The sequence below is a fragment of the Homo sapiens genome, chromosome 20 (assembly GCF_000001405.40).
Source record: "Homo sapiens chromosome 20, GRCh38.p14 Primary Assembly".
Classification (NCBI taxonomy): Eukaryota; Metazoa; Chordata; class Mammalia; order Primates; family Hominidae; genus Homo; species Homo sapiens.
The window spans coordinates 47672410-47699811 of NC_000020.11; the positions used below are offsets into that span (position 1 = coordinate 47672410).

Genomic DNA, 27402 nt, shown 5'->3' on the forward strand with positions numbered 1-27402 from the left:
GGCCTCGGCCAGCTGCTCATCTGCTCCCCTAAACCCGCCTCTCCCCTGCCACCCCCATCCACCCTGGAGACATCCCTCTCCCTGCTTGCATCCAGCTGTTACCGAGCCCCACCTCTGCTATCTCCAATGCCGCTTCTCTCCACTGCCACTGCTTGAACCTTGGGCAGAGCTACCATCATCCCCCAGCGAGATGCCTCCGACAGCCACCACTCTCACGGTTACCTGCTTCTGTCTGCTCCTAAAATCCACCCACATGGCAGCTAGAGGAATCTTTTTAAAGGGCAAGTTGGATCATATTACTCTCCTACTTAAAACCCTTCAATGGCTCCCACTGTCTTTAAGACAAGACCCAAGCTCCTGATACTAGTCTTTGAACATCCTCTGCAATCTGGCCCTGGCCTACCCATCGGTCCTCCTCTCCCTCAGCCCTCTCTCCAGTATCCCCTGTGGGCTGCTGCCCCAGGGACTTGGCGCTCACTGTTCCTTCTGCCTAGAATGCCTTTTCTCCAGCCCTTCCTGCTGCTGGAGGCTTCTCTTCCTTCCCGTCTGCTCCAGCGCAAGGAGGTCTCCCCTGACCACCTTCCCAGACTCAATCAGTGCAGTGTGTGCAGAGGCTCCACGTGTGCACTCAACTCCAGGCCTGTGGTCAGACGCTGAATGTAGATAGAATCACTGTCCAAATCTCTCGTGTTGATCCTTCTGCTCTTCCCCAGTTCCAGCCTCCTGGATCCCCTCACGGGATTCTGCAACCACCTGTAAACTGGATTCTCTTCCCTTCTGTCCACAGCTGCTCCAGCCCATTGACCCAGTGACTCTTTAGGGCCTATTCTGTGCCAAAGTGACCTTTCCAGGCCATGGGTCAGATCTGTTCCCTGTGTCTCTCCAGCACTTAGCATGTGCCAAGCACTGTGTGTTAATATATTAACTTGCTTACTACACCTCACGCTACCCTACGAGGCAGGTGCTGTCATTACTGTGCCGATTCAAGATGAGGCACACGGAGGTAGAGAGATGTGTCCTGGGTCACACAACTGGGAGGTGCAAGAGCTGTAAGGAAAAGTGTGGAGTCTGGTGCCACCATCCCCCCCAACCCTCTGCTGCACCGTCTGCCCCCGCCCGCTGCCGTTGAAGGCCCTGGTGCCTTTCACCTGCTCATCTTGCCCCTGTCCCGCCCATCTGTTCTCACCTGGAGGCTGAATCTAATTGCATTCACAGCGCCCTGCCACCCTCCCATCCCCTTCAATGCATGCAGGCCCTTCCAGCAACCTGGATTCCTTAGTGCAGAAGTAGACTGATGGGCCAGCAGGCATGGCCCTGAATGAGGCCAGCCCAGAAGCGCCTGGGGGACCTGGGGAGGCTAAAGTGGGCACTGTGACCGGCTATACCCATCTGACTGTCGCCAGAGGGGAGCACAGGCCCAGAAGCCCAGGTCTGATTTTTCAAGAAAAGCCAGGGCTCTGAGTTCTGCGTGAAGCCCTGAGCTGTGTGCGCTGGCGAGCAGCCTCCTGTCCACTTAGCTCTCTCTGCCTGGAATTCTCCTTCCCCACTGCCTGCTCCCCGCTCCAACCCAACAAACTCAGCTGGGGCACGACTTGAGGGGTCGGCAAACAGCAGCCCTCTTGCTAGTCAACTCCAGCCCACAGCCTGTTTTTGTATGGCCTGCAAACCAAGGACGGTTTTTACATTGTACGTTTTCAGAGTTGTAAAAAGCAAGAACAAAAACAAATATGTGGCCTGCAAAGCCCAAACTATTTACTGTCTGATCTTGTGCGGAAAGGGTTTGCTGCCCCTGCAACTACTCATGTAGAAGCCGTGTCCACATGGCCCGTCCCGAGGCTGTCCTGGCGGGGGCGGCGCCTGAGCCCCACAGGGCTGGGCCAGTGTCGGCTTGACTTGGGGTCCCTACAGCTGCTGAGAACGAAGGTCCCGCAGCCCAACTACCTGGGTTCAAATCCTGCCTCCACCACTTGAAGCTGTGAGGCTGTGGGCAGTTTGCCTGAGCCCTGGGCCTCAGTTTCCCCGTGTACAGAACATACCTGCCAGATAGGGTGGCTGGAGGTAGAGCTTACACTCACGTGTTGCCCGTGATGATCATCATTACGAGGTGCCCAGGGCACATTTACTCCTGCCCGGCCTGGGCCCTGGTCTGGGCTTTGGCAATGATGACATGAATTCTAGCCGGGCCCTGCCCTTAGGATGTCCCCGTGTCACCGGGAGACAGACAGATGCACATGAGCTCGGTTCCTGGGCACGTTTGTTCAGCAAATGACAAAAAAACATCTACCACGTGGGGTAGCACGGACAAGGTACCCAAGACAATGCTATGGCTGGGTGTGAGGCCCCTAAGAGACGTCCTCGGGCCACAGGGTACAGCTTCTACACTGGGCAGGGCATTCCAGAAGGCACGGCACAAGCAGGGACATGGCAACGGCACTCGGGGAGTACCGGCTTGTGAGCAGGGCCGTTGCCTGGGATGGGGGGCAGACGTCTGAGCCTGAGGTCCCCAAAGCTCCGGGGCTGGGTCGGGGGCCGTGGGTTGCTGCCTCCCAGCTGGCCTAGGCTAAGTGCCCCAAACTCCGCCCTCAGCACTCTCTTCCTTTGGCTTCAGTGGTGTGCTCTGATTGTTTGGAAAATGCTGATACCTCCTCTTTCTTGGCCCCAGCAAAGAGGTCATTCTGGCTGCCCAAGCCCTGATCTGGGTCAGGGGAGACATCAGAAAGAACCAGTGGGGGACTTGACAACGTTCCCTCGTCGAGGGGCAAAGACTTCCTGGCCTCCTCATTTCACTCCTTTTAGCCCAGAACTAAAATCAGAACCACTTCTGGGATCTCGGTACAAAGTCAAGGCTGAACTCTCTCCAGAACATCAGCTCTGGGAGGGCAGGAGCTTCTGTTGAGCATGTTCGAGGCTGTGGCCCTGCGCCTAGGACAGTGCCTGGCAAGCGGGGGGACGCATTCATGCTGTACAACGGAGGGATGAAATCCACAGCTCCTGCCCGGTGGCAGATACGGGTTAATTGTGTGACTAAGAGGGGTCTGTGGGTTTACAAACACACACTGGGTGGGGAGGCACAGTCAGGCCTGTATGGGCCTGTACTAATTCTGTGTGCAGTGTTAAGATGGAGTCATTCAAATGCAGTCCATCAGAAACGCATCCACTTCAGGCCTTGGCCTTCAATACCAGGGCCCTGGTTTTGCTTTTTCTCATAGGTGAAACAGGCACACAGCTCCAGCCCCAGCTCAAAGTCCCAGCCTTTGACAGGCAGGGCAGGGACACACCTCCGGCACCCCTTGGGCCAGCCAAGGCAGAGTTTCCATCCCACTCCCCTCCCTGCCCTGCCCCGCCCCCGACCCTCCTCTCCAAGCCTGCCCTGGCTTTCCAGCCTCAGAAAAGCCTCCTTCAGGCTTTCCCAAACATGTCAGTTTCTGGCTATCTCTGATACTTCCCAGATAATTTTCTTTTTTCTTATGTTTTTAGAGACAGGGTCTTATTCTGTCACCCAAGCTGGAGTGCAGTGGCGCAATCATAGCTCACTGCAGCCTCCAACACGTGGGCTCAAGCCATCCTCCCGCCTCAGCTCTGGAGTAGCTGGGACCTCAGGCATGAGCCACGGACTGTTCCTGGCCATAATTTCCTTAATATTTCTCTTGCAATCAATTCACTTTTTAAAACCTTACCTATATTTATTTTAAAAAGCCATGTCTTATTACTCCTATAAAAGGAAAACCAGTCACAAAGAGGATACTGTCAAAGTGAATATGGTGAAAATAAAATAATTTAACTCCTGCTGGGGCCTTCGTGCAAGAGAGATCGGCAAGGGCTAGAGAGGCGCTAAGGGCATACACACACCCACGGGACACTTGGCCTCTGACACGGTCAGGGTCCAAAGGCTGCTGAGAAATGAATCACTTATTGTGAGCATCATCCTGCACCACCAAACAGCATCTTGGGCACCACACGGCAGCAAAGGACTACCCGTTGGGAGGCCCTGGCCCTGCTGGCTCAGCGGCTCTCAGAGCCTCGCAGGTCAGGGCCGGCTGCAGTCAGGAGGGGGAGCCGTTGGGAGGGAAGGGAGCCTTCTTACCTGTCCCAGCTGCTCACACGCCGTCTGGTACTCAGCACGCTGACACAGGTCCTTCACACGCTGGTACTTGGGCAGAAAGTTCTCCTCCTGGGCGTCCACCTTGTCATTGTCTCTCTTGTGTAGCAGCTTGCTATGGGGCAGAGAGCAGGAGCCGCGGGGCCGGCCTCTCAGCTCTGGAGGAGCCCCGGAGGCATGTGTGCCCACCTAGAGGGGTGCCCCCTCGGCTCCGGCTTTTCCTCACAGTGGAGGGCGCAGGGCCACCTGCCCGGGTCTTCTGATGTTTAGGAAACTTAAGACATTGGAATTTTATAAGAAACTTCCCAAATTGCATGAGTTGGCAATAAATTAAATAAATTGAAGACATTGTAGAGGCTGGACAAAGCATGCCAAAAGCGTACACGTGACCTCAGACCCCAATTCTGTGTCTATAGGAGCAGTGAATGGGCTTTGTGTTTAGGGGCCTTTGGACCAACTTCAGAGCCATGGGCAGCTCCTGAATAGCATGATGCGGTGGGGCTACAGAAGCTTCCTGGGCAGAGGGAGGGAGGTGGGCAGGGGTGTCCCTCCCAGGACCCGGCACTCACCCTCTCTCCACCAAGAAGGAGTCCCGCCAGACCCTCATCTTCTTTTTCAAGTGAAACCTGGAAAAAAGCACGGCTCCTGCTTCTCAGCAACATGAGGGCTTCCCACGACCCCCCGTTCCCCCAGGAGCAGGGACGGCACCAGGAGTCAGCCTTGGTTTACGGTCAGCCTGGACAGCAATTGTGGTGAGTGTGCCCAGCTGGGCACTAGAGCATTGCCCACCCTCCTCTGAGTTGAGCCACCCCTTCCCCAGAGACTTGGGTCTGGAGACACACACAGTAGAAATGACCCAGGTCAAAATCACTGTAAGTCCCACCCAAGTAACTGTGTGTGTGTGTGTGTGTGTGTGTGTGTGCGCGCACACACATCTCAAGCCCCTCCCAGGAAGCCCAGCAACTCCCCCGGCACTAGACGAGCTCTATCTCGAGTTCAGCGTCAGGCGCAGTGGTTCAGCATCAGGCGCAGTGGTTTGGCGTCTTGAGCTCTGTCTTGAGCTCAGTGTCAGGCGCAGTGGTTGCCTTGATGTCAGGTTAATTGCATTGGGTTTTGGGAGTATTTTCTTCTTTGGTGCTTTGCAGTTGCATGTATGTAATTTGTATGTTTCATCCAGTGCCACCTGGTCATTTCCATTTCCTAGATGGGGACTCTGAAGCTGAGAGGGGAAGCTTCCACCCTGTCCCCTGACCCCCAGGTGTCCTGGCTCCCAGGCCAGTGTCCCCAAACATGTCCATTTTATACCATTACAGCTTGCCTGGCCTCACAGTCAGGGGAGGAGCCTCAATGGACACGGTCCCCCTACAGGGCAGCCAGATGTGGGCACACAGTGCTCGCCTGGCTGGAGCCTCTGGGAGGCCACAGGGGAAGGGCTCCGCTGCCAGAGGTGCAAGCCAGGAGTTGAAGTAGCACCTGGAGGCCAGGAACCTGGTGGCTGTTAAGAGCGCTGGCCACCAGATGTCGCTGCGGCCACACCAGCCTCCCCGCCCTGACTCAGCCCACCTCCCACCTGTCTGACTTGCTCACCCTCACGGTTCCTATTCTGCCTCTCTGGACACCTAGGAATATGTTCCCATCACACCCTCCAGCATTAAAGTTATGGGGCGTGGTGAGTCAGCATCTGAATTCCCAGAGCTACATCCAGACTTGCTGGGATACCTCCGACACGTCACTCAATCGCTTTGGGATTCAGATTCCAAACTGGTAAAATGGGGATGATGATAATGTCCACCTCGCTGGGTTACTGTGAGGATCAAATTCCTAGATTTCCCTGCACAGTACTTAGAATAGGGCCTCACACACAAGCGCCGTGCAGTTAGCACCATCTCCTACCATCACTGCTGCTATCATTTCAAGCTTTGGGTAATTTTAGCTCAGAGAAGGTCCCCAACTGGTCACCTTGGCCACATTCCAGATGGGAAGACAGAATCTCGGAGAGGGGACCATGCTTCTCTCCCACAGCAGGTAAGTGGTTGGCATGGCGGGACCTGAGAACCCCAGCTCCCGACCCTTGGAGACCCCACGTTCTAGACCCACAGGGTTTTGCTCTGAGTTCCCGCAGGTCAATGTCCCGGCCCCCTCAACACCTGCCCTGCTCCGTCCTCACCGATTCACCGGCCGCTCCGTGTCCAGCAGCTTGAGGATGGATTTCCCGTCCATATCCGCAGGTATGTCCAGGCCTGCAATGTCCAGGATGGTGGGGGCCAGGTCAATGTTGAGGACGATGTGGGGATTCCTGGGGGAGGCAGGAGATCGGGGACTCAGTCACTCAGGTGGTGGTGCCTCAGCCTCGCGTGGGGGGTGGGGAGCGGTAGGTGGGCAGCAGTTTGTGGGAGGCTGACATCTGCAGGTATGGAAGCTGCAGTCTGGCACCTCAACCTCAGCAGCTCCCCTCTGCGGCCCAGATTCAGCTGAACCCCCACTCTGTGCTCGCCCCCCCTTAGTTTCTGTGTCTCAGCTCATGCCGTGAGCTGACAGCCTCACCCTGTCCCCCTCCTGCCCTTCCTGTCCCCACTTCCTGAGTGAAGGCGACCCCCCCTTTACAGCCAGCCCAAATCCTGGCCCTTCCTGAACCCTTCCCCTGAACCTCTGGGGCAGACACTGGCTCCTCGCTGTTCCTTGACAGCCCAGGCACAGTGCAGCCTCAGGGCCTTCTTCTTTACCATCCTCTCTGCCTGGAATGTCCTTTCCCTGGAGATCAGGGGCCACCGTCCCTCACCCCTTTAGTTCTTTGCTCTATGACCAAGGAGGCCCGTGACAGGCCTCAGTGGTCCCCAGAATCCCTGTCCCTGGTGATCACACCTTAATGTGACCCCCTCACCTTGGGTGTGGACCAACCTGCACCTGCTGCCAACCAGTGGGTTGTGAAGGTGATGGGCTGTCACTCCCGTGGTTGTGTTATGAGATAGTCAACTACTATCCTGCTAGCAGTCTGGCTCTGGTTTCTTTCTCCCCTTGCTGGCTTTGAAGAAGCAAGCCACTCTAAATCAGCAGCTAGACTGTGAGCAGTCTGGGAGGCAGACTGCATGGGTTCAAGTCCTCTGCTTGCACTTGACCTGCCCCATGAGCAGGGACGCAGATGCTCCCCAGTCAAGCCTCTGGATGAGACCACAGCCCTGGCCGGCACCTTGATTTCAGCCTAAGCAGACGACCCTGCAGGGCTAGGCCCAGGCTTCTGACCCTCAGACACTGTGAGTTTGTACATGTGTGTTGTCTTAAGCTGCTGAGTTTGTGGCAGTTTGTTCTGCAGCACAGATACCCAACACAAGGCCCCTCCTGAGGACCCTATTCGGAACTGCGCCCCCTCCCCACCCTCCCTGCTTTATCTTTCTCCTGAAGACTTATCACCATCTCATATGCTATATAATTTACTTATTTCTCTGGCTTATTGTCTATTGCCCAGTTAGACTCTAAGCTGCAGGAAGGCTGGCTCAGGTGGTCACTTCTGTATCTCCAGGACTTATACCCTTAGAACACAGAGGAGCTACTCAGTAAATATTGGCTAAGTGAATTCCCATACATCTGCCACCTTTCCTGGCTCCTGTTTCTTTTTTTGAGAGGTGTCTTGCTCTGTCACCCAGGATGCAGTGTGGTGGCATGATCCTGGCTCACTGCAACCTCCACCTCCTGGGTTCAAGCGATTCTCATGCCTCAGCCTCCCGAGTAGCTGGGATTACAGGCATGCGCCATCACACCCATAATTTTTGTACTTTTAGTAGAGGTGGGGTTTCACCATGTTGGCCAGGCTACTCTTGAACTCCTGACCTCAGGTGATACATCCGCCTCAGCCTCCCAAAGTGCTGGGATTACAGGCATGAGCCACCTCTCCTGGCTCTTGTTTCTGGCTGATGGCATTCCCAATGTAGGGTAAGGGACTTAAGGGGTGTGCCCAGCACAGGACCCAGGACCTGTTGAATGGTGGACAGTCCCGTCAGAGCATCTGAGTGCCTTCCCCGCTAGTTCCCTGGGGACCAGGGCAGGGCCTGGGTCCTAGGGTTTCCGTCATCTTTAACCCCTCATCTCTCCCCAGTCCAGTGCCCTGTGAACGTCGGGCAGGCTGCCAAGCATGTGTGCAGCTGCTGAAGATGGGGCTGTGTCATGGGGGGCTCGAAGGCCAGCGTGAGGCGCTACAACTGAATCCAGAGGCGAGGGAGCTGGGAAGACTGCTGAGCGACGGGCGCTCTGCAGAACCCAGCAACCGGCAGCTAATGGGGCTGAGCTTGTCCAGTGGTCCCGCTCCCCCAGGCTCAGGGGAAGGAGGACAGTGGTTGCTTTTCCTGGCCAGCACCAATGCCTTGCTCTGTGTCACAGCTTCTAATTCTGTAGGAACTACCTGGCCCCATTCAGAGTCCCCTGCCCAATGTACTCAGCCTGGTTACTCAAGGGTTTCTGTCACCTCTGGCTACAGTGAATGGTTCAGGGAAGGACACGTGACCTAAGTCAGGCCAGTGGGAGTCAGCCTCAGGTCTTCTGTTCAAAGCAGTTTGGCTTCCTAAACAGGATGGCTGAAAATCTGGAGCTGCTGACCCTGCCACAAGGAGAAAAACCCACCTGAGAATGAAGCCAATTCGGCGGAAGTGGGACTGAGAGATAAGAAATGAGAGCTTTCCAATGGCATTGTAAGACTGCTGGATCCAGCCATGCCTGAGGCTGGAGCTGTGCATGGACTTTTCAGTAACTATAGTTACTGTGTTCCTTTTATCTTACATGCCTTATCTGGTTCAAAGGTCATTTCTGCTTGCAACCAAAGGAGTCCTGGCTGACAGATACCGTGTGTCTTTGGTCCCAAACCTGACATGAGCACTCTCTTTTTCTTGACCATGTGGGATGTGGTTTTGGGCCCTATGAGTCAGATCACAGATTCCGAGGCTGACCAAACCCCCAATGTCAGTGTTTGTAGAGCCCTCAGTGGGTCAGATTCTTTCTGTTCACAGGGATGGTTTGAAGTTTCTGAGAGGCGTGGCAGATGGGAATAGAGACTGCCTGGTTTCAAGCCCCAGCCCCTTCCCTTACTTGCTGTAAACTCAGGCAACTTAACCTCTCCGTGCCTCAGTGGCCTTGGGTGTAAAATGGGGCTACTATGAGCATCCACGTCACAGGGCAGTTGTGATGCTGAAACGAATTATTAATTGTTTTTGAGATGGAGTCTCACTGTGTCGCCCAGACGAGTGCAGTGGCATGATCTCGGCTCACTGCAACCTCCACCTCCCAGGTTCAAGCGATTCTCCTGCCTCAGCCTCCTGAGTGCTGGGATTACAGGTGTACGCCACCATGTCCAGCTAATCTTTGTATTTTTAGTAGAGGCAGGGTTTCACCATGTTGGCCAGGCTGGTCTTGAACTCCTGACCTCAAATGATCTGCCCACCTGGGCCTCCCAAAGTGCTGGGATTACAGGCATGAGCCACAGGGCCCGGCTTGCAATGAATTATTATGTAGTTCTTAGACCAGGCCCTGAAGAGTAGACACTCCATACGTGTGGACTGTCGTTATTACAGCTCTTAGTCCAATGGGGACGCTAAGAGCCAAAGACGGGCGTGATCTGATAAGGTCAACAGTCAGTCATCACTTTCTCTGGCCTTGAACTCATGCAGCCTGCCTCCTGGAATTCTCGCAAAATGTCCAAGGCAGTGGGAACATGTCAGTCTGGAATTCCACACTGCACTGTCAACGCCTTTTCAGGAGGAATTCCGCAGCCAGCCCTGTGTGAGTGCTGGGTGTGTGTTCCCACATCTGGGCATGAGCAGAAGGCAGACCAAATGACAGTCTTAATAGCAACACATCTGCTTTTCAAAAACCTCATTTGAGCCAGCCTCCATAATATCCCAGCCGATCCAAGGAAGCTGCTGCCGGGAACAGTGGCCTGTCCGCTCCCCTGCCCCAGACGCAGCATGTTCGCTGCCAGAACATGTCAACTCAAAGGTTAGCCCGAGGAGAATGGCTGGCTGAGGGCTGCGGCCCACGTGGTCCTCCAGGAAGGATGGGAGGGAAGAGCATTTCCCTTTGTGCTGCTGCCCAGAGTTGGCTCAGCTGATCCCAGCTGACAACCAGCTGCCTGTGCTGTGGTCCGGGGTTCCTCCCTGACAACCTCCAGGCTCAAAGACTGCCCAGCCCAGAACAGAAATCCAAGCACCATTCCCACCCGCTGGTGACATGCATGTGCGCGCACACACGTATACAGCCCAGCTCCCTGGATTTCCTGGCATACGGCCCCACCACACCTGTTTCCACAGGTGCTAACAGCTCCCGGCCTCTCCTTCCCCAGCAGAGGGATATAACATGCATGACATAATTGCTTTCCGCTGGCCCTGGGGTACATCTGCGAAAACTGTGTGCCACCCAGGGTGGGCTTGGGTTTGGGCTGCATGGTTGAAGCCCTGAGCTGGGCCCAGGGGCCTCCCTGGGTCCCTGGGGGATGACACACTTACAGACAGCCGGCTTCCACGTTGGGGCCCCTCACGTAGAACGGGACCCTGATGTCAAACTCATATGGCATGGATTTCCCTTTCACCAGGCCAAACTGGCCGATGTGGTAACCGTGGTCGGCGGTGTATACGATGTACGTGTTGTCCAGCTCGCCCGTCTCAACCAGCATGTTGTAAATCTGCAACACGGGCGAGGAGGCAAGGGACAGTGGGGACTGGGTGCCTGGCCCGTCTCCGACCCGGGGTGACAGGCGCTTGAGATCTCAGGCCCCGTCCCTCCCCTGCTTCAGGTCTTTGCTCAACTTTCCCAGGGGCTGTCCCCTTTGTCACTGCACCTTCCTGCCTCTTGTCACCCCTGGCCCGCCCTCCCCTCCACGGTTCTTCATGGCCCTTCTTGGCATCCATCTCTTTTACTTATCTGTGGATCATCTGTGTCCCTGCCTTGGCATGCTGCCTCCATTAGGGCAGACACTTTTGTCATTTTGTTCCCTGCCTGCTGTATCCCACGTACACTGGCACTCAATAATGCTGTCAGGTGAATGAATGAATGAGTGAAACTTGGGCTGCAGCCTATGGCAGGATCTTGCGATCTGGAAGGGCGCCGTGTGGCAGAACTTTCTGCATTGGTGGCCGTGTTAATGTCTGCACTGTCCGATATGGACACATATTGGCTCCAGCCACACGAACCTACTGAGCATGTGAAATGAGGCTTGTGTGACAGAAGAACTGACTTTATAATGTTACTGCATTCAGTTTAAATAGCCATGGCTAAATAAAATGTGACAATACCCATACAATGCGATATTATTCAGCAATAACAGGGAATGAGGGGGACTGATTCATGCGACACCAGGGGTGAAGCTTGAACACGTGGCGCTAAGTGAAAGAAAGGCGCTGGGCACAGAAGGCCACAGCGTGTACGATTCCATTTATAGGAAGTGTGCAGAACACCAAATCTATAGAGACAGAAAGAGATCACCAGTTGTCTGGGGCTGGGGGTGAGGGAGATTTAGTGGGCCATCTAAGGGCTGTGAGGTTTCTCTTTGGGGTAAGAAAAATGTCCTAACATGGATGTGGTGATGGTTATACAACTCTGGGCATATTAAAACCACAGAATTGCACACTTTAATTGGGGGAATTGTATGGTATGTGAATTACATCCCAATAAATGTGTTCAAAAATGTAAATAGCAGGAAAAAATATAACTAGCATATATGGTTACCGTATTGGGCAACACAGATCTAGAAAATGTTTCATGAAGGAAGAGGCTTTTGTCTGGATTGCTCCAAGCTGTTCCCCAGGTCTAGCACATGGGGCCTCTTCATTCTGCCTTTGATTTCTATTCCTCCAGGAAAACCCTGAAGGGCCAGGAGGTCTCGGCCCTGGCCTGGCTGGGGGTTCGGAGCCACGCCCACCAAGAGGCATGCAGCGGGCGCCTACCGTCTCCATGGAGTCGTCCACCGACATGAGGGTCTGCAAGCGCTTCCGCTGGAGCATGTTGGTGAATTCCATGTGGATGGGCTTCATGGGCCCCGTGTAGCGCATGATCCAGTGTTTGTCCGGGTTGGGCGCGTAGTTGTAGCTCGGCGTGCTGGTGGGCAAGGACATACACATCGGTCAAACCCAGGGACAGCCTGGACCCTGCCTGGCCCCCGCCAGACCCGCCCGGATGAGCAGCCACCCTGTGCTGTGTCTGCAGCCCAGGGCCAGGTGTGATCTCCTGGTGGGAAAGGGGACATTGGCATGTCAGGGGCTTATCCAAACCCTGTTTCAGCGTTTCTCCACGTGTGAAGTGTGCACTTGGGAAGCTCCTAAGAGGCACAGCATTCAGTGACCTTGAGTGACAAAGTGAGACAGCCAGTCCCTTGTCGGCTCTCTCAGGGCAAAGTCTGTTTGGTGCTAGTGTTTCTTTAACACCTCTCTAGACTTTGCTCGTCTTCCTTTTGAAAAAAGGGAAGAAAGTCAAGTTCAGAGCCTTCATCGGGAACCAGTACCCAACTCAAATTCCATAGCATTGCTTTGTGTGCCTTGTACCTATTATTGGTAGATGGCAGTTACCTTTGGTGAATGGCAGGTGGCAGTTATTGTGGTTAAGGTAGGACCACGGAATATCCTTTTGCAATAGATTTTAGTTTGAAATAATAGAAATGGATTTAAAAATGAAATAAGTCATAGTTTTATGTGTAAGGCCAGAATTGTGAGGAAGGCACCTGAATGTGCACATTTGGGACATGCCACATTCTTTTTTATTTTTTGAGACAGTCTCGCTCTGTCGCTCAGGCTGGAGTGCAGGGGCGCAATCTCAGCTCACTGCAACCTCCACCTCCCAGTATGAGTGATTCTCCCGCCTCAGCCTCCCAAGTAGCTGGGACTACAGGCGCGTGCCACCACACCTGGCTAATTTTTTTGTATTTTTAGTAGAAATGGGGTTTCACCATGTTAGCCAGGATGGTCTCGATCTCCTGACCTCGTCATCTGCCCACCTTGGCCTCCCAAAGTGTTGGGATTACAGGCATGAGCCACTGCACCTGGCCTCTTTGTTTTGAGATGGAGTCTTGCTGTGGTCCAGGCTGGAGTGCAGTGGTGGGATCTCAGCTCACTGCAGCCTTTGCCTCCTGGGTTCAAGTGATTCTCCTGCCTCAGCCTCTTTAGTAGCTGGGACTACGGGCTTGTGTCAACACACCTGGCTAATTCTTGTAGTTTTAGTAGAGATGGGGTTTTGCCATGTTGGCCAGGCTGGTCTTGAACTCCTGACCTCAGGTGATCCACCCACCTTGGCCTCCCAAAGTTTTGGCATTACAAGCATGAGCCACTGCACCTGGCATGCTGCTTAATCGTGCAGCAGGAGTGTGTTGGGCAAAGTTCTGTCTGAGCACCTGTGATGTGAGGGATGGAGGGACCCCAAGCAGGTATCTATGATGATATCATGGCAGTGGTTGACTATACCAGCTGCTGGGGTTCGAGCCCCAGTTCTGTCTTTGGCCAGTTAGTCCCCTCCCAAGGCATCAGTTCCCTCATTTCCTACCCAAGGAGAATACAGACAGTGCCAGTTCCCAGGAAGGTTGTGAGCACTGAGGGAGAGGCTGTAAGGGGAACCCTTCTAACCATGGCCAGTGCGTGATGACTGCTTGGGAGAGGTTATCATTGGTGTGTCCCTTTGTCATTAGTAATCACGGGTGACTCCACGGCAGAAGTCAGGTACACTGGGTCTGTCACTCACTCCGTGAGACAGCGGGCAGGTCCCCAAACTTCTCTGATCCTCTCTATTTCCTGGTTAGTCAATGGGAGATTAAACCAAAACCAGAGGAAACATTGTGAGCAAACCAAGAGCACCTCCTTGTCACCTCAGTTTATGCCGGGCCCCTGGCTCCGAGCTACTGAAAACCGCAGCATGGGGGAGTCTCCTGGGTGGGGTGCACCATTGACAGGAGGCACTGTTTAAGGCCTCACAAAACGTGGGCTTCCTCGCCCTGGGCCTGATGGTTCTTGAAGGCCAGGTTCCCTGCAAATCTGGCCTCTCTTCCCAGTCAAGGCTGAAGTAAAGGGTGAGTTTCCACTGCTTTTCACAGTGGGTGTTCTGGGGGCAAGGAGCTCCCGCGAAGAAGAGGAGGAAAAACAAGCCTGGTCAGAGGGGCACAGACATGTCTCCCTCTGGCCTGGTACGTCGGGACTTCAGCAGCGTCTCAGATATCACAATCGTCCGGGGCAGAAATTGTGACGCTGCCGCTGGGGTAGCTTGGCAGCTGTGGACACCGTTGCTATGTAAGGCGGGAGGTGAGTCACTGTCTCCAAGGCTCCCCTGGACTCGGCTTTCTCAGCCCCTGGCTGATCTGCAGCCTCATGCCACTGAATCCATCAGGGCCCATGCTTCCTTTCATTACAGAACGGCCAGGCTCTCCTGTGGGCTGGCTCTGCTGTCTCAGGGCCTGACCCGCCATGTAGAACATTCCCAGGAACAAGCTCAGCTCCCCTCTCAGATCTCTCCCACCGAGGAACTGAAAGGGGGCTGCTGGGGGCAGCAGTCGGACAGAGACGCTCTCAGAGCAGCGAGCGTGTGGGAAAATTGGTCCCGCAGGCCCAAGGGCCCGGATTCCAGGATGCAATTTTCAGCAATCATCCCTGAATCCATGAGAAGTTAGGCTGACATCGGCCCTCGAGAACAGTGAGGGGTGACTGTTCAGAGGATGATGATTTCTGCAGCCCCGGCTCGGAGAGAGCGCTTTTGGAGAAGGACACTGAGGCCAGAAGGCAGCAGAGCCGGGTGGTGCTTGGGGTCGACGCCAGCTTGCTGGTTGCCTGTGTCAAGCCAGGCTCCCCCAGGGAGGATGTCGGCATCTTCCCATGGGCCCAGCTGCCTGTTCAACAAACATCTGAAAACTTCACCTCCTCCAGCATCCGAGGAATATCTGGTGCGTTCACAAAAGGGCGTGAAGAAGACCATCCCCCTTCCCTTCTGCTGGGGAAATGGCGGGAAGATGGTGGTGTCCTCACAGCCCCTCCACTGTGTGTCTGGGGCCATCAGCAGCAGCCCCAACATCCCTCGCCCCAAAGCCCTTGAAGCCACAATCAGCGCCCTTTGAAGGGAAGCTCTGAGGGCTGGTGGGCTGTGTCTGTGGGCACGCCTGTGTGTATCTTTGTATCTCTGCCTATGTCTTTGTTTGCGTGTGTGTATGTCTTTGTGTGTGTCTGTAACTGTGTATTTTTGTGTGTCTGCATGTGTGTGTTTTTTTTTTTCGAGACAGGGTCTCACTCTGTCACTCAGGCTGGAGTGTAGTGGCGCAATCATAGCTCACTGCAGCCTCGACCTCTTGGGCCCAAGTGATCCTTCTGCTTCAGCCTTTCCAGTAACTGGGACTACAGGTGTGCACCACCACCCCTGGCTGATTTTAAATTTTCTGTAGAGACAGAGTCTCACTAAGTTGCCCAGGCTTGTGTGTGTTTCATTGTGTGTATCTGCTTGTGTGGTATGTCTTTGTGTGCCTGTGTGTATTTGCATGTCTTTGTGTGTGTCTGTATGTATGTGACTGTGTGTGTGGGGGGGTGCATGGGGAGGGTGCAGGGCCCTGGGGTCTGCGGGGTGGATGGTACCACCATCTACCAACTTTTGCCAGAGTACACAAGGCCTGCCCCAGGAAAGGGCATGTGCCGGCTTTCTAGGGGAGAGATGGGATAGGAGACCCCTAACAGAAAGATCCAGTGCTCTAACCGTGCGCCCCGGCTCTGTCCCCTCTCCACCCCTTCTTGACTGTCATCATTTAACATCCTAGCTGCAGGACTTTCTCTTTTTTGGTTTCTTTCGGAAATGATTATACTCCAGAGATGAGACAGCCTTCCAAACATGCCCCTAAGAAGGCAAAGGGGGCTTCTCCACATAAGAGCAGACACTGCTCATTTTCAATTTCTGTAATTTTCATTTCAAAGGGAAAATAAACCAGCAGGCAATGCCAAACAATTTCATCATGAAATTCCGGCACCGCTCGCTGCTGTTTGGGGTGAAGCCGGCACCTCTTTTAGAGATGCTGCCGAAGCAAAGCGTCCCTTCCCTCACCCACGGCTTCTCCCTTAGACAGGGCTGAGTGGCCTCCACCCGCTGCAGGGATGAGTTCTAAGTGGCGGTAGGGCGGGGTGCCGGCTGCTGGGGGAGGCTGGCCTTCTTGGGTGGAGAGGAGTGGGCTTGGGTTTGGAGGGGGAGCCAGACAGATGTGCACAGCAGCAATGCTGCAGCCCCTGGGACGCAGCTCATCGTCTTCTGTCAAAGCCTCCTCCCCAGAGATCAGGGGATGGGAAGGTGAACAGTGCCTTCGGTACCCTCTCTGAGCTGCTTCGAGGTCTGTCAAAAAGTAATTACAGGAGGGGCTTGAGGAGGGCAATGTATTCAGATTGTAATGAAGCCAAACACCCTGAATATTCAGGCAGATTCCAAACCACCCCATCCTTGCAGCCCCAGAATGTCACAGTAAGGGCTGCTGAGTCACTGCTAAGCAGGGGGTGGTCTGAGGCAGAGAGAAGCAGGAGAACTTTCCAGGAAGTTTCCCAGCCAGCTGGATAGAGTACTACAGGGGTGGGCAGAGGCATGGGAAGCAGAAGTGGGGGGCTGGACTTGAATCCTGGCTCTGCCACTTAGAGCTGGGTGACCTCAGGTAAGTTACCTTACCTCTCTGTGCCTCAGTTTCTTCATCTGTAAAATGGGAATACCAAGTGTGACAGGCAGCCTCCAAGATGGCCCTTGATAATCTCTACTTCCTGGCCTTCACACCCCTGCGTAGACCCTCCACATTGTAGAAGGACCGGTCTGTGTGACCAATAGAATGTGGCACAGTGATGGTGCCACTTCCGAGATTAGGTTGTAAAAGACACTGTGGCTTCCTTCTTGGCCTTACTCTCTCTCTGATCATTTGCTCTGGGTGAGGCCAGCTATCATGCTGTGAGGACACTCAAACACCCTATGGACAGAGGCTCCTGTGGCAAGACCCAGCCATGGGACTGAGCCCCAGTCAAGCCTCAGGTGACTGCAGCCCCAGCTGACACCTTGATTGCAACCTCAGGAGACCCTGGGCCAGAAGCTCAGAACAGCCACTCCCAGATTCCTGACTCACAGACACCGTGAGATAATTTGTGTTTGTTGTTTTAAGTTGCTAGATTCTGGGATGATTTGTTACATGGCAATAGATAACTGGTACACCAAGGGTCACTGTGAATATTCAGGGACTGGACAATAATGCCAAGGGCTTAGCACAGCACCTGCTACATAGCCCACAGCTCAATAAATGGTGGCAAATAATTAGTCTGGTAAAACTATAGACCCCCTCCTCAAAAGAATGTTTTTAGATGTCTTAAATAAAATACACATGGCATTAAAAGGAAACCTATTCTATGCAGTTCCATCCACACACCTCTTGGTGGGAGGCCGTGTATCCCAAGTTAAAAATTCTCCTGCCTTGGTCTGTTGCCCAGGCTGTCTGGAGTTGCATCCCAGTTTCACCATGGACAAGCAGTATGTTCTTGGGGTCTTTAAACCAGGAGGATTAGAGAGGAGGCACAGTGAAGTCATGGTGGTGACAGTACTGTTGCTAAAGCCTGACCCTCCCCCTTCATGCTAAGCAGTGCCTCTGGCAGGCAGAGTGCTGAGGCTTACATGTGCTGAGATGCGTTTGGGAAGAGGCGTGAATATTGTGGGGCTGAATCCTCAGGGCCGTGGGGGGCTGCATGGCTGATGACCATGAGGACTGGCCTGTGCGGGTACATCTTCTTGGACGTGCGGAAGAAGCTCACGCTGTCATTGGTGATGAGGTCTGTGAGGTAATCCTGGGGGGTGGGGAGAGACAGGAGAACAGGTGAGGAGCCAGGTATTCATACTGGTGTCCACTACGTGCCAGGCACCCTGCTAGGCACTGGGGACACAATAGTGAACAAAACAATTTCTGCCCTTCTGGAGCTGACAGTCTAGGGAGCAGACAGACAAGAAATAAGCAAGTAAAATAAATGAAATGCCAGACAAATGATGCAAATGGTGCTAAGCTAATTGGACATAAAGCAGAGAAGTGGATAGGGAGAACAGGGCAGGAATTGCAATAGATCACTTTAGATAGATATTAAAATAGGCTGGGTGGGATGGCTCACACCTGTGATCCCAGCACTTTGGGAGGCTGAGGTGAGCAGATCACCTGAGGTCAGTTTGAGACCAGCCTGGCCAACACGGTGAAACACCATCTCTACTAAAAATACAAAAATTAGCCAGGCGTGGTGGTAAACACCTGTAGCCCAGCTACTCAGAAGGCTGAGGCAGGAGAATCGCTTGAACACAGGAGGTGGAGGCTGCAGTGAGCCACGACTGCATGATTGCACTCCAGCCTGGGTGACAAAGCAAGACTCTGACTCAAAAAAAAAAAAAAAGATATTAAAAGAATAATAGCTAACACTATTGAGTGCTTACGATGTGCCAAGGACTGTTCTGTGTTTACCTGTATTTGCTCGCTTAATTCTGACATAACTATAGAAAGTACGTATGATGATAATCCTTATTTTCCAGAACAGGAAATTAAGGCACAGAGAAGCTAAGTAAATTGCCCAATGGCACACAGCTAGTAAATGTTGGACCCAGCACTACATAGTCTTGGCTCCTAAGTCTGAAGTTTTTTCAAGGCTCTGGGGACACTGTCATGCAGGGTGGGTATATCCCTAAGTCCCTGGGGTGCCTACACTGGGGCAGGAGCAGACACATGTATAAATAAAGAACCAAGGTAGTTAAAAGTTATGACAGATGAAGGAAATATCATAAAACAGAGAGATGTAACAAAGAGTAACTGGGAGCTGAGGTGAGGGGCATATTTTAGCTGGGGCAGTCAGGGAGGTCCTCTCTGAGGAGGTGACATTTGAGTTGAGACCTGAATGATGAGAAGGAGCTGGGCATAGGAAGATATGTATCACTGGATTTTGCCAGAATCCCCTGGAGAGCTTACTGATACCTGGGCCCACCCCCAGAGATTCTGGTTGGATTGGCCTGCGGTTTGGCCCAGGTATCAGACTTTTAAAAAACTCCCCAGGGGATTCTAATGGGTACTCAGGATTGAGAATCACTGATCCAGGAAAGAGTTCCAGGCAGAGATAACGGGGTCTGAGGCAGGAATGTGCTTGCCATGTGCTCTAAAAATAGAAGAGAGGGCAGATGGCAACTGGCTCCTTGGAAAGAGGATAAAATGTCAGAGGGTAAAATGCAGAAATGATATAAGGAGCAGCACACACACAAAAAAGGGATGGGGATGCAGTAATGTCTCCAGGAAAATAAGGAACTGACTTACATATTGGGCAAGAGGAGAGAAGAGTTGGAGGAAAAGTAAATGGCCAGAACTGGAGGCTTTAAAAGCTCAGCTAAGAAGTTGAGGTTTGCCTATACTCTTTAATTTTTTTTTGGTCATGGAGCAAAAAATGGAGCAATGGTCTTGCTCCATTGCCTAGACTGGAGTGCAGTGGTGAAATCATGGCTCACTGCAGCCTCCATCTCCCAGGCTCAAGTGATCCTCCCACCTTGGCCTCCCAAAGTGCTGGGATTACAGGCGTGAGCCACAGCACCCATACAACTCTTCCTGAATTTAGTAAATATTTAGCTGCTAATCTTTCTTCAAGGTAATGACTTCTTGAAATATACCCTCTGCTAGAAAGCAGCTCTGCCCAAAACAATTACTTTCAAAAAGTGATTATTTTCAAGAAAAAAAGGTGAAGAGGTGTCTACAGCTTCCACCCTGAAGTATACAACATATATACATACCATGATGTATTCATATATCTACAGACACTCTTTCAGGTACACTCATCCACTATATCCATATGCACAAGAATGGCCACTGCAATATTGTTTATAAAACAAAAACATTGCAGTGACCAGCAGGAGGATATATGTTTAACAGTATGCATGTATATATATTATACACACACATACATATTAGAGACAAGGTCTTGCTCTGTCAGGCTGGGGTGCAGTGGCACAATCATAGCTCAGTGTAACCCTGAGGTCCTCAGCTCAAGTGATCCTCCTGCCTCAGCCTTCTAAGTAGCTAGGACTATAGGCATGTGCCACCACACCCAGCTAATTTTTCATTTTTATTCTTATTTTGTAGAGACAGGGTCTCTACAGACAGAGTCTTGAGTATCTAACAGTGGTTAGCCCAAGTAGATACAGCTAGCAAGTGGCCGCCCAGGCTGATCTTCAACTCCTGGTCTCAAGCAATCCTCCTGCCTCAGCCTCCCAAAGTGTAGGTATTAAGGCATGAGCCAACACACCTGGTGGCATTGCTTCCATACTATGCAATGCTGTGCAGACATTAAAAAGGCATGTGTAAAGTTGTCCAAGATACATGGTTAAGGGTAAGAGCAAGCAACAGAGTCAAACTCAGAAACATTCTATTTTTTGTGGGGGCAGAGGGAAGGGAAGGTGAAGAGGAGAAACCAAACTCTAACCTCATATATTTTTGAGCATCAAGGAAAAATCTGGAAGGATATCAAAATGCTGATTGAAGACTGGGAAGAGGAGAGAAGCGGAGAAAGTTACTTGCTTCTTTATATATTGCTCCTTGAATATTATTTATGGATTAATTTTGGGGAGTAAAAACAATTTTATAAGGGGGCTCTACAGAATTTATTACATAAAAATAATATATGTTATATAAATCAAAGAGCTGCTGCTATAGTTTTGGAACGTGATATAAAGGTATTAGAAAAGTTCTTAAAATGACAAAGGTAATTTACAATGGATCTAAAAATGGTGCAAAGCTCTGTACCCTGACATCAACAGTCAGGGCCTGAAGGGGTCAAGTCAGGAAATGGCATGAGAATGAGATGGAACCGCCAGTGGTGGACACTTGCTGCCACCCGCCAGTGGGGTGGGGTGGGAAGCCACCGTTGCTCTTCATAACAGACTCATCTTCACTACTTCATCTTAGAACTATATGCCTGTTTGGCCGTGGTTAAACTTTTTTAAAAATAAAGCTACCATTAACCTCCATTCCTAGGAGAAGATATACAATGGGATTCTAAAGCAGTGAAAAAGAACAGAGCTACGTGGATGAACACGGATCAAACGTGGATAAATCTTACAATGTTATATCGGGTGAGAAAAGCAGGTTGTGGAAGGATGTGTATGATATGATATCATTTATAAAAAGTCTAAGGACACAAACACAGCATCGTACATTGTTTGAGATATCCACCTATGGGATGAAAGAATAAAGGTATGTGTGGGTAGAAGCTCCAGGATACTGGCTACCTCCAGGGGAGGGCTCAGGCCGGGGCAGGAATGAGACCCAGGAGGGTGGGTCAGGGGCTCCCACAGTCTAATGTTTCAAAGTGTGTGGGGGGTGATTACAGTACCTGCCTCTTGAGGCTGACAGGCAGGTTAAAGCACCAATAGATGTGAAGCTCTTGCCATAGTGTCCTGTGCACAGCCAGCTCTCTGCCACCATTCAGCTAAGAATCAGGACTGTCTTGGTGGCTGGGCAGATTTCTCCATGTCTGAGAGCTCCCCTCCTTATCCATCCTCCTCAGTGGCCACTCCTCGGCTAAGTCTTCCCCGATCTCTGCTAGCTCCGCAATGCCACATGACACACCTGCCTCCAAAGCTGCCACCCTGCTCCACCAGTGGGCAGTTAGTGCCAGGCCAGCCAACAAGAGCCACCCATCCCTCCGGCCACAGGGCTTCAGCCATGCCCTGTTCTCTCTGAGGGAGAGAACAGGAGGCCTGGGCCAGGGTGGCGGGGGCAGCATCCAGCGATGCTCAGGGGCAGCCAGGACAGCCACTGGGTGGATGTGGGGTGCGGGAGGGGCGGGTGACCCCCACCCCTGTTGGTCTCTGGTTTGGGCAGTTGAGGGAAGGGTAGAGAAGGCCTGGGCCGGGGGAAAGGCTGAGTTCAGAGATGGGCAAACTGTGTTTGGGGTGCCCGGGTCAAGCCATGAGGAAGAACTCTGAAATTCAGACCTGTGAGCAGGAGGGTGAGATGGGTGGAGGTCCACAGGCCCAGGTGCATTTTCCAGAACCCGGCGCCCAGGAGTCAGGCTCTACCCAGGTGCTGCTGGCCTGCACAGCTCCACAGGGCTGAGAAGCCACAGCTGGGACCCCGAGGTGCAACCGGCCCCCTCTGGCAAGCACCCTCTGAGCCTCAGGTGATTCCTGCAGGCATCCACAAGCTTCACCGACTGAGTAGCTAGTGTCTGCGGAGACTGCCAGCCTCAGCCCTAGGCAAAAGCGTGTTTCCCTCGAGTGGGCACTCCGCACCGGGCTTCCCTCCAAGGCCAAGGCAGTGCGTGTGGGTGGCAGCAGCTCCACAGGCTCCAGACAACTCGTAATGAATGATCATAGGCTCTTCATGTTATCAAATACCTTAGCTCAGCTGATCGTCACAGCAACTTTGACAAGTGGACATTATACCCATTTTACAGATAAGGAAGTGAGGTCCCCAAACAAATAAGCCATGCATCCAGAGCTGGAGCCAAGGCCTTTGTATTTTTGGGTCAGGTCCATCTTTTTCTCCCCGCCACAGATAACATTATTAATGAGAAGCATACATAGTGGTTTAGAGCAAGTATGCACAAACCGTTCCTGTAAAGGGCCAGACAGTAAATATTTTAGACTCTGCAGGCCCCCTGTCTCTGTTGCAACTACTCATTACTGCCATTGCAGCTTGAAAGCAGCTATCAGGAAAATGAATGGGCATGTCCGTGCTCCAGTAAAGCTTTATGTATGGATGCAGTTTTAATTTCATGTATTTTTCACATGTCATGAAAATTACTCTTAAAAGCTTTATTGTGGTAAAAAAAAAATGAGCTGTATGCTTTTTAACAAAGTTTTATCTGTGAAGTAGAGTACTGTTAACTCTAAGCACCATGTTGTACAGCAGATCTCTGGAACTGTTTCATCTTGCATAACTGAAACCTCATACATCTTGAACAGGAACTCCCCAGTTCCCCCTCCCCTCAGCCCTGCCAACCACCATTCTCCTTTTTGCTGCTATTGTCTGACTAATTTAGATGCCTCATGTAAGGGAATCATGCAGTATTTGTCCTTCTGTGTCTGGTTTATTTCACTTAGCATAATGTTCTCAAGGTTCATCCATGTTGCTGCATATGATAGGATTTCCTTATTTTATTATTTTGAGACAGAGTCTCGCTCTGTCGGCCAGGCTGGAGTGCAGTGGTGCTACCTGGGCTCACTGCAGCCTCTGCCTCCTGGGTTCAAGCGATTCTCCTGCCTCAGCCTCCCAAGTAGCTGGACTACAGGCATGTGCCACCATGTCCAGCTAATTTTTGTATTTTTAGTAGAGATGGGGTTTCCCCATGTTGGCCAGGCTGGTCTCGAACTCCTGGCCTCAAGTGATCCGCCTGGTTTGGCCTCCCAAAGTGCTGGGATTACAGGCATGAACCACTGCGCCTGGCCGGATTTCCTTTTTAAAGGCTGAATGACATTCATTTTTGTATATACCATGTGAAAAATGCTCTTCTTTTGATTGTTTCTTCAATTAGTTGAAAATGTAAAAACCATTCTTAGCTCAGGGGCCATACAAAAACCACCAGTCTGGGCCCACGGGCTGTGGTTTAGTGCATGGACTTTGAAGCCAGATGGCCTGGGTTCGAATTCTGCTTTATCACTTACTAGGCTATGTGGCCCGGTTACATTACTTAGCCTCTCTGGGCCTCAGTTTTCTCATCTGACAGTTGGGAATAGACACAGTATATACCTCACAGACTATGATGAGAAATGCATGGGTTAATTTGTGTAAAATGATTCAAACAGTATCTGGTACATGGTATGTCTAAATGAGTGTTAGTCATTATTCCTCAAGAACCATATGCCTACATTTTCTTTGTGAAAATTAAAATAGTACAAAGGACAGTGAAGTCTCATTTGATTAGATTACTCCTTACCACCCCCCCACCCCCATAACCTTGGCTCTTCTGTCCCCTACTGGGAATAACCTTTCCAGTGTTTTGTTAGGTACATTATAGTATCACTTTATGCATCTTTTTATATTATTAATCACATCATACTGTACATATTCATTTATCTATCTGACAAATACAGCAGTGAACAAAACAAATGAGCATTCCTGCCTTCATGGGGCTTATATTCTTATGAGAAGAGACAGATACTTAACAAATGAATCAGTAATATACACAGGGTGTAATGCACCAGATGGTGATTTGTTGCAGTAAGGAGTGTGGTGGGGGTGCCCTTATACAAGGTGGTCCAGGAAGGCTAAAGTGAGGTGACATTTGAATAAGGACCTCAGGAGTTCTGGAACTTGCTTTTCCCACTCTGCCTGATGGGCTCAGGACATAAGGCAGACCGGCCTCATCCTTTGCCGAGGATCTTCCAGAGGAGGGATGCTTCACGGTCATTTAGTTATTTCGTGTATTGGTGGACTTTGCTAATTTCTTTCAGTAATAAACAGAGCTACAACCAGCTGCTCCATCACGCCGTCTCCTGCCTATGACTGAGGCTTCTCCAGATAGACAGAGAAGTGTACACGCTGCGGCAAGGGGCGGGGCACATGAAGTTCATAGAATCTGCCAGGTCGCCCCCACACTGGCCGTGCACTGCCATCACCTCCCTGCAGAGCCACCCAACACCCAGGCCCACTTTTGCCAGCTACCTGGAAGCCTCTTTTCGGGTGGACTCAACTCTAGGTCATTCTCACTTCCCTTCCCACTAACAACTGTCTTCCCCTCTCCAACCCTCTTCTGCCATTAGCGCTTGTCCTGTATCACTCTTTTCTCATCACCACTGCCTCTCTTTCTGCCCTTGACATCTGGACCCCTTTGGTGGCATGTGCCCATCTGTGGATTAGTGACTTGGGACAGAGTCCTCAGAGGCCTTCTGAGGGGGGCTTACGAAGGGTTGCCGCTTCCTCCCTGCCTGGGCCTCCCAACAAGGCCCGCCCGAGGCCAGCAGTGACATTCTGCCTTGCCAGAGGCATCTTACTGCCTGATCTAGGGCCCAGGGCACAGGGCTCCTGAGCTCTGCCTTGGCTGGAAACCCCGGGCTCACCCCTGTTCCCTTGACGCTTGGGCTCCTGCTGCCCACTGCTACCCTCAGGATTTGAACCCTGGACCTGAGCCAGTTCTGACTTCACCGCCCCGCCCTCTGCCCACGTCCCTGTTAGAGCATCTCTGTTCCCAGGCCCCTGGTAACTGGGGGGCCAGGAATCCTCTCACGCCTCCCTCACAGGGCTGTTCTCATTCACAGGGGGAGATGTGTGTGGGCAGGAAACAGGGCAAAAGGACGGACGTTCTATGTCCCCATGCTTAGCCCCAAAAGAATCCTGAGCACCCCGGGATAACTTGATTATCGGGCTGCTCTGAGATGAGGCGTGGATGTGGTGAAGAATTTTAAAAAGGAGGGAATGTATTTTTCAGGATATTTAGAGAATCCGCCTGCACTGAGGCTGGGAGGAGGGAAACAGCGTGCTTAGCCCTGGGACTGGAATTTATATTCCAAGGAGTCCATGCCGGACTGCCTCATCAGAACTTTGGAATTAATTCACTTGGGAGGCTGGAGGCCTACTATGTGCAGAATGAGACTTGAGGGCAGGCCGGGGGCGGCTTCTGCCACTTGGGCCTGGACCCATCAGACTTACAGGGAGCCCAGGATGACCTGTCGGAGGCAGAGGGATCTCCATGTGTGCCGGGGTTTCCAGAACAGAAGTGGGACAGAGTGTTTTTTGGCCGTTGAGCACCTAGTCAGCCTTCTCCTGGTGGAAACTCCATTCTTATTTGGGGCTCTATTCCCAGCCAACGTTCCAGCGTAGAGCTCCTGCTACCCCCATGTCTGGCTCAGGAGTGGAGCATGTGACTTATAGTCCAGGGAACCAGGCATCCTCCTGGCCACTCTGATTGGCTCAGGGACAGACATGGGACTGATCCAGAGCCAATGAGATGCACTGAGACTCTCTGGGACTCCTGGGAAAGAGACTCCCATGCTTGCAGCTGGCCAGGAAGCTGGGAGGATATAAGGAAGGCCGCACTGCTACCAGGAGGAGAGAGAGCTTCTGTGAATACAGTCGAGCAGACAAAAACAGAGCTGACAGTAGAGAGAAATCAACTCCTTGGGGGTTCATTTGAACTCCTGGATCCACCCATGCCTGATACCCCTATAGCTGGTTTTCAGTTAAATAGGTGAATATATTTCCTCTTTGATTAAGCCACTGGGAGTTAAATTTCTGTTCACAAACAACTTCAAGAGCCTAGTCTGATTAAAAAAAATTACCCTATAGTGGCTGGGTGCCATGGCTCACACCTGTAATCCCAGCACTTTGGGAGGCTGAGGTGGGTGGATCACCTGAGATTGGGAGTTCGAGACCAGCCTGACCAACACGGAGAAACCCCATCTCTACTAAAAATACAAAATTAGCTGGGCGTGGTGGTGCATGCCTGTAATCCCAGCTACTCAGGAGGCTGAGGCAGGAGAATCACATGAACCCAGGAGACAGAGGTTGTGGTAAGCCAAGATCATACCATTGCACTCCAGTCTGGGCAACAAGCACAAAACTCTGTCTCAAAAAACAAAACAAAACTGAGATGACTGTAATAACTAGCAAGCTTGGAGGTTGAAATGGCTCATACTGGGGATGACAAAATAGACGGGTGTGATGTGACTGTGTGTGTGTGCATTAATGATGTGTGCACATCACTTAACAGTTTATATCATATCTTCATGTGCCAGACTGTGAGCTCCAGGAGGACCATGATTGGGTCATCTGTTTTCATTCACCTTGGAATAGCCAGCACTTGGCATGGTACCTGGTACACAGCAGGCTCTCAATGAATACTTGTTGGGGGTGGTGAATGAATAATGGAACCAAATGTGACTAGTCCACTCCCCTCATATGATTGTTGTGAATATCAGAAGTACTACATGTTATCAGAAGTACTACTGTGTACCCCTGAGCACTACATAGTAGGTGCTCAGGGGTACACAGTAGGTGCTCAGTAAATGGAAGTACACATGATTAAGTATGCAAGGGTATGCTTGTTTTTCAGATTTGGGAGTTGAGGCTCTTAGGAGTACGTAGCATGTCCAAGGTCACGTAATATGTGTCAAGGTTGGGGCTCTCAACTTGATCCCACTGACTCCAAATGTGAAACTCACCGTACAGTCCCCGGAGGGTGCTGGCAGAAGAACGACATGGTGGGCTGAAGGGCTGCAGGCCCATGGGTCAGGCATGCTCAATTGATGCAAGATTTTAGAAAAGTCTGAATTAGTTGCCAATATTTACCAATCAGGAGATTTCATAGGTAAAAAATACAAATTTGTGGCTTCTGTTGAAAAATCAGGAA

General features: G+C 51.9%; 1 protein-coding gene across 18 annotated transcripts in view, besides 6 other annotated features; it reads right to left on the reverse strand.

Annotated features, from left to right (window-relative positions):
• The window catches only part of SULF2 (sulfatase 2), a 129222-nt gene that overhangs the window by 15004 nt on the left and 86816 nt on the right, over positions 1-27402 (reverse strand). For all 18 annotated transcript variants that reach the window (XM_047440296.1, XM_047440295.1, NM_198596.3 and 15 more), the window contains exons 5-10: positions 17717-17886; positions 12022-12172; positions 10585-10760; positions 6267-6395; positions 4669-4725; positions 4085-4214 (exon numbers count right to left, since the gene is read on the reverse strand). In XM_047440296.1, coding sequence (XP_047296252.1) covers positions 4085-4214; positions 4669-4725; positions 6267-6395; positions 10585-10760; positions 12022-12172; positions 17717-17886 — 813 coding nt within the window. The remainder of the gene's footprint in view (positions 1-4084; positions 4215-4668; positions 4726-6266; positions 6396-10584; positions 10761-12021; positions 12173-17716; positions 17887-27402) is intronic.
• Positions 2050-3015: an enhancer, noted in NCBI's record as "H3K4me1 hESC enhancer chr20:46303203-46304168 (GRCh37/hg19 assembly coordinates)". NCBI's record gives its function as "activates a minimal SCP1, AML or CMV promoter by ChIP-STARR-seq in naive H9 embryonic stem cells {active_cell/tissue: H9 hESC(naive)}" and the evidence as "EXISTENCE:reporter gene assay evidence [ECO:0000049][PMID:30033119]".
• Positions 6378-6878: an enhancer, noted in NCBI's record as "H3K4me1 hESC enhancer chr20:46307531-46308031 (GRCh37/hg19 assembly coordinates)". NCBI's record gives its function as "activates a minimal SCP1, AML or CMV promoter by ChIP-STARR-seq in naive H9 embryonic stem cells {active_cell/tissue: H9 hESC(naive)}" and the evidence as "EXISTENCE:reporter gene assay evidence [ECO:0000049][PMID:30033119]".
• Positions 15559-16109: an enhancer, noted in NCBI's record as "H3K27ac-H3K4me1 hESC enhancer chr20:46316712-46317262 (GRCh37/hg19 assembly coordinates)". NCBI's record gives its function as "activates a minimal SCP1, AML or CMV promoter by ChIP-STARR-seq in naive H9 embryonic stem cells {active_cell/tissue: H9 hESC(naive)}" and the evidence as "EXISTENCE:reporter gene assay evidence [ECO:0000049][PMID:30033119]".
• Positions 16110-16661: an enhancer, noted in NCBI's record as "H3K27ac-H3K4me1 hESC enhancer chr20:46317263-46317814 (GRCh37/hg19 assembly coordinates)". NCBI's record gives its function as "activates a minimal SCP1, AML or CMV promoter by ChIP-STARR-seq in primed H9 embryonic stem cells {active_cell/tissue: H9 hESC(primed)}" and the evidence as "EXISTENCE:reporter gene assay evidence [ECO:0000049][PMID:30033119]".
• Positions 16241-16410: an enhancer, noted in NCBI's record as "experimental_60491 CRE fragment used in MPRA reporter constructs". NCBI's record gives its function as "activates a minimal promoter by MPRAs in K562 erythroleukemia cells, with activity observed for both the introgressed and non-introgressed 20:46317479 variant alleles {active_cell/tissue: K562}" and the evidence as "EXISTENCE:reporter gene assay evidence [ECO:0000049][PMID:34662402]".
• Positions 25053-25557: an enhancer, noted in NCBI's record as "H3K27ac-H3K4me1 hESC enhancer chr20:46326206-46326710 (GRCh37/hg19 assembly coordinates)". NCBI's record gives its function as "activates a minimal SCP1, AML or CMV promoter by ChIP-STARR-seq in primed H9 embryonic stem cells {active_cell/tissue: H9 hESC(primed)}" and the evidence as "EXISTENCE:reporter gene assay evidence [ECO:0000049][PMID:30033119]".